This window comes from Homo sapiens, chromosome 5 (genome assembly GCF_000001405.40).
Source record: "Homo sapiens chromosome 5, GRCh38.p14 Primary Assembly".
NCBI lineage: Eukaryota > Metazoa > Chordata > Mammalia > Primates > Hominidae > Homo > Homo sapiens.
Window position 1 is genome coordinate 43,553,154 of NC_000005.10, and position 6,000 is coordinate 43,559,153.

General features: G+C 45.7%; 1 protein-coding gene across 3 annotated transcripts in view, besides 1 other annotated feature; it reads right to left on the reverse strand.

Moving 5' to 3' along the window:
• Window positions 1-4,258, reverse strand: part of PAIP1 (poly(A) binding protein interacting protein 1) — a 31,145-nt gene extending 26,887 nt beyond the window's left edge. Inside the window, exons 1-2 of one of the 3 annotated variants that reach the window (NM_183323.3) lie at window positions 4,187-4,258; window positions 2,677-2,846 (exon numbers count right to left, since the gene is read on the reverse strand). In NM_183323.3, coding sequence (NP_899152.1) covers window positions 2,677-2,775 — 99 coding nt within the window. In that variant the 5' untranslated portion in view covers window positions 2,776-2,846; window positions 4,187-4,258. Of the gene's footprint in view, window positions 1-2,676; window positions 2,847-3,428; window positions 3,925-4,186 lie in introns of those variants that run through there. The other 2 variants (NM_182789.4, NM_006451.5) reach the window with 2 other exon arrangements.
• Window positions 3,360-4,219: a silencer, noted in NCBI's record as "silent region_15995". NCBI's record gives its function as "represses an Ori minimal core promoter by ATAC-STARR-seq in GM12878 lymphoblastoid cells {active_cell/tissue: GM12878}" and the evidence as "EXISTENCE:reporter gene assay evidence [ECO:0000049][PMID:35858748]".

Below are 6,000 nucleotides of genomic sequence, written 5' to 3' on the forward strand. Positions count from 1 at the left end.
TGACAAATATTCAAGGCATAATGGTTTGTCTGAGAAGAAATAATGGCCAGGGATAAATGGATATAGCAACTCACTGGTAAGAAGACATGGAAAGTAGGAAATTCTAGCAGCAGGATTAGAGGAAGAACTGAAGATAAAAGGGCTTGGTGCCTTGAAAGAGTTAAGAAAGCACAGCAGAAGACTACCATAAAGGCTGTTAGAAAAAGGATACCAGGAAATAGATTTTCATGTGTAGAACAAAAGCAGATTCAATAAATGTCTGCAAACTGAGCCAGGAGACTACTAGAATAGAGACTCCATGAAGACAGGAATTTCTGTCCATTTTGTTTGTTGCTGTATCACCGGTGCTTGACTCATGATAAGTACTTGACTATTTGTTGAATGAGTGAATGTAGCTAACTTTGGATTATGGCTACTAAAAGGAAATGTTTCCTTTGCAACAAGAGCTTATCCTAAGAGTCGGGGGAAAAAAGGATCCTGCTGTTCTATGACTAATTGGATTGAGAAAAACTCTCTTAGCCTTAACTATGGGTAAAGATTAGGGTAAACCAGTAAGGCTAGAGAATATACCAGAACAGGGGTAGTAAGCCTGAATGCCTGTAGAATTCAGGTAGATTACAAATGAATGAAATAAGCCAGAAAGCAAATTAGAGCTCACAGACTCCATCTAAAGAGAATGCCTCTACTCAGCTCCAACCAATTTTTGCTGTATCAAAATGCCAGTCCACTAAGGCCAGATTTTATGACAAACCAGAACATTCAAGTTTCTAATATCTAATTTAGGTATTGGTTAATTAAATAAAACAACTTAAAGAAAAAACAAACCCATTCAGGGCTAGAGAAGACACCTGCAGGCCACACAGGTTTCCAGGTGCCAGGCTGCAATCTGTTTTGGTAAATTGAGCACAGGAGGTGCTGATCTATTAGAGGATGGCAAGGAATGCCTAAAAGATGCAGTGGCTCAAAGTAGGTGGACTAACATGACTTTATATACTGCTCGACAGCCCCAAAGTCACTTGAACCACGTAAAAATAGTTGATACACGATTATTACATACACAAACACACCCCTGTATCCCTCCATCATAAAACAGCCCAAGTCAATAGGGAAGAAAATAAATGGGAACCTGCTTGTAGCTGCTAGAACAAGCATCCTTAAGAGTTTATTCAACCTCTTACAGTGGCTCTAATGGTTCTTTTCCTCTGTGAGCTAAATACAATTTTCTGGCAAGAACTCAAGATGCTCTCATTTCTACCTTACACGATAGATGGCCTTTTTCACCCCATATCAATTGCTTTTCCTGCTATGCCTGTATCTTTTTCTTTCCAATCCCAAAGCTTTTTCCTATACAGCATAAGAATCATGGAGTATCTAAAACATGGAACACAGCTTTTTCCATACTTTTACTGTCAAATATGGAAGGAGAGCCAAAAAGAGGTAATAAAAAAGGTGTGTCATTATCAGTTATAAGGGAAATATAAATTAAAACCACAACTAGATACTATATGCCCACCAGAATGGTTAAACAGAAAATACCAAGTGCCGACCAGGAAGCAGAGTAACTGGAAATCATACACTACTCAGAATGTACAGTGGAACAATCTCTGGAAAACTACTTGGCAGTCTCTGCTAAAGCTGGCTACCCTAAGTCCCAGCAACTCCATACCTTGGTAATATACCAAAAAGAAATAAAGGCATACAGCCAGCAAGACACAAAATGTGCCCTATTCATAATAACCCAAGAGTGAAAGCTACCAACGTTCATCAACAGACAAATGGGATATATTCATGCAATGGAATGTTATAAAAATAAGTCACCTCCAATTATATGCTACAATATGGAGTAATCTTGATATTGAAAGTGAGAAAGAATATATTCTATATGACTTTATTTATATAAACTTTGAACACAGGCAAAACTATCCTATGAAGTCAAAACAGTGCTATACTTGGACATCAAGAACAACTGGAAGGAGACAGAGTGGGTTTTCGGGATGTTGATAATGTTCTATTTCCTGACTGGGATGCTGGTTAGTTGAGTGTTCACTTTATGAGACTGAGCTAACACTTAAGTACACTATTCTCTGCTATACTTCAATAAAACTAAGAAGATAGGAAAGACAGGATTTAAGCTAAAGTATCATCAATCATTTCTCCAATGATTCCCTCCCACTTCTCTATAATTAATCCCTATGCATTTACTCATCTGGGTTTATCCAGTACAACAAATTCCTTTCTACATATTCCAACTGTGCTTTGTACGGCTATTTAAGAAAAGTGACTATTTTTTAAAGTTGTTATATAAGTGACAAAGAAAAACTGAAAGTTTAAACATTCTTTATACCTATGTAAATACTTTATCACAACCCCGTAGGACATTTCTGCATACAATAATTAGGATCAAAACTATGTCTATTTTAACATAATGGAATAATCACTAGAAACAAGAACACAGATGTGTATCTCAAGCTTACATTCTAATACCTTGAATATAACTACAAAATGTATTTCTGAATCAGCTTTGTTTCCTTCTGAGTTCAATAATTCAAAACATTCACAATAAAAAAATTTTTTTACGTGTAGTACAGAAAGCACAAACATACTCTGATTAACAAAGTAACAACCACATTATTCCAGTAAATTAACCCAGAGTTGTAGGAAAAAGGGTGTACTTACTGTGTAACTGGAAGAATAACCTGAAGGGTAAAATTCAGGGGCATTCACAGACAGCTTAGACATTAATACAGGAGCTACAACCACCTGGGGCTTAGCCATTGCTGACTCCGAGTTCTGCTGTGGGATTTTATCCTGTGAACTAGGTGGAGCTCTCAGGGGCCTCGTTTGCTCTGCAAAAGAAAAAAAAACGGGGCGTCAGATGCATTCTTTCCTTTGTACAGCAACTTGCTATATACTGAAAAACCATCTGAAAAGCGTCTGTTTTTAAGAGTTAAACAGGAACCATCATGAAATTTATGGTTATCGCCGGAATGTGTACAGACAGCCTACAAAAAGGAACAATAGACTTGCTGTGACTCCGTTATGGGCATACCTGCCTCTCAAATGAGTGCTTGCGAGCTTTTTTCCTCTCTGTCGTTTTAAAGGGGTCGGTGGAAAAGAGGTGGTTACTCGCTAGGGTCTCGCTTTAGAGGGCTGCTGAGGGGAGGCGATTTTTACTTCCTCCCGGGACCCCGAACTCCGAGACCGCGCACCCGGCCCCTCCCCCCAGCCAGGCGCACAAAGGATTCCAGCAGACACCTTCCAAACCCGGTTCCGGGCCCGTCCCTACCCGGTCACGCGGCCCTCTCGGGGAATGCTTTCGGGGAACCGGGGGTGGGGACCGCAGACAGCGCGTCGGGCCTCGGCACGCGTGGAGGGCCGTGGGGAAGCGTTCGCCAAGGAGGACTGGGGCCCTTAGAGCTGCTCCGTACCTGGGAGCGCCCCGGGCCGGGAAGGCCGCTGGGGGCTGGCGGGGACCTCGCACTGGGCCCCTGGCGGCGGGGTCGTCCTGGGCTGGCGCAGCGGCGGTGGCTGCAGGAAGCCCGGGGCTTTGGGTTGCGGCGGCTGGTGCCGCGCCCGCTCAGCAGGCCCCGCTCCGTTCGGGAAACCGCCGCCCTCAGGCCCGCCCCCTCCGCGGCCCAGGCCCCGGCTCCGGCCCCGACCAGCACCTGGGGCCCGATCGAAACCGTCCGACATGCTCCTCCTCCTCCGCCTCCTCCTCCAGGGGCCGCTGCCGCTGCGCTCGCGATAGGACGCGGGGGGAAGGCGCCGCGGGTCGGCTATAGCCGCCGCGCCTCACTCGGGCCTCATGGAGGAGGAGGGCGGCGGGCCCCGGCTCGGCTGCTCGGTGCTTCTGGCGGAGCGGACGGCAGCCCGAGCACCCGCCGCTCCAGAGCGCCCGCCCCGCTCGGCTACCCTCGGCTTTCCAGTTCTCCCCCAAAACCCGGCTCCCCGCCTTCGGCGCGGCAGGGGCGCAGGCGGGTCACAGCGGCCCCCTGCGGCCCGGAGGCCCGGGACGCGCCCGCGAGGATCCTCCAGTTCGCGGCTGGCCGGCCGCCGGGCCCAGCAGGCCGCCCGCCGAGTGGCGTCTTGGCCACCTGCCGGCCCGCAGCCAGGCTCGGGCAGGGGCATCTCGGTTCCGGGGCCAGGCTGGGGGGGATGAGGGATGAGGGGTGAGGGGGACGCTTACCACAGGCAGGCCCGACCTACTCGGTAGTTCTCAGGAGAGACGTGCGAGACCGACAGTTGACGCCCGGGAAATAAAAACACGGGGGGAGGGGGCGTGGACCCTGCGCCAGGGTTCGCTGGCGCACAGGTGTGTTCAATGACTCGGCTCCGGCCGAGACCCGCGGACTGCTGAGGAGTGGTCCCTGGGAGACTGTCACCTGCTCCGTTAGCATCGGGGGAAGGGAGTAGAAACGGAATCAAAATATGTGTCCCCTCTTTAATTCACCCTAGGTGTTTACCACAGTAGGTCACACCTACGTTTAACAAGCTTCGTTCTCTTCCCGTTAACCTTCCCCTCCAGAAATTTCAAGAAAATGTGCTACCTTTCAGTGTAACTCTGCCCTCTTTTTCATCTTGCATCAGTGCTGTCCAATGAAAATATAATGCGAGCCACAAATGCAAGCCACTTATGTAATTTTACATTTTGGAGAAGCCACATTAAATGAGTGAAAAGAAACAGGTGTGGCCAGGCGCAGTGGCTCACGCCTGTAATCCCAGCACTTTGGGAGGCCGAGGGGGGCGGATCACCTGAGGTCGGGAGTTCGAGACCAGCCAGACCAACATGGAGAAACCCCGTCTCTACTAAAAATACAAAGTTAGCCGGGCGTGGTGGCACATGCCTGTAATCCTAGCTATTCTGGAGGCTGAGGCAGGAGAATCGCTTGAACGCAGGAGGCAGAGGTTGCAGTGAGCCGAGATCGTACCGTTGCACTCCAGCCTGGGCAACAAGAGCCAAACTCTGTCTCAAAAAACAAAACAAAACAAAACAAAAACCAGGTGAAATTAATTTAAATTTATTTAATCCATTATGTTCAAAATGGTTTTTTAACATGCGATTTAAAATATTAAATATTTTCTCTGTTTTTTAGATACTAGTTGAAATCCAGTGTATATTTTACACTTATGGCACATCTTAGTCGGGATTGGCACATTTCAAGGGCTCAAGAGCCACATGTGGCTAGTGGCTACTGCGTTGCACAGCACAATTCTAGATTTTATTAATATGTAAATTGTTGTTTTTGTCAGGCCTGACAGTATTAATGCCAAATAAAGGATAGATGAATATAAGTAACGACAAGGAAGGAAAAATTGATTTCTTTACTGTTGGATTGATCCATCTCCATAAATTCTGATTTTAGCCTTTTGTTTTAAGCAGGGTTTCATGTTTTTCTATCTTTTCATCTTAAGAATCATTTCAATTAGGGACACAAACTCTTGTTAACCGTTTTCTCTTCTCATTAATAAAGAAAACAATGTCTTCCCCTAAACGAATGAGAAAATGGCTTCACCGAGGGCAATCATGAATAAATGGTTCATGCTATTGATGTTAGGCAAAATAATGAAGTCAGGGAAGGAAGCCAGCAGTACGTGTGGCTCTTCGGTGTACGGAAAGTTTAGGATTCAGTCTGCCAGAGCTTAGTTGGGATTCCACTCTTGACTATTGCTGTCTGTGTGATTTTGAGTAAGTAAGGGGTTTAGCTTCTCTGAGCCTCACTTTCCTCATCTGTAAAATAATAACTGTGTGGTAACACTCAGCATATATTGCAGAGACAAGATTACAATTTAAAAATTACAATTTTAATATTTTCAAATTCATTATTGTATGTGGTCACCAGTCACTTCTTGCCTGGACTTTTTTATCATACAGGAAAGACCCATAAACTATGCTAAAAAACTAACAATGAGTTATGTTCCACTGAAGTAGATGCCCCAACTCTGCCCCAAGCTTTTGTTTGCACTCACCACCTTTTCATTTCCCCTTAAAACTTTTATGAT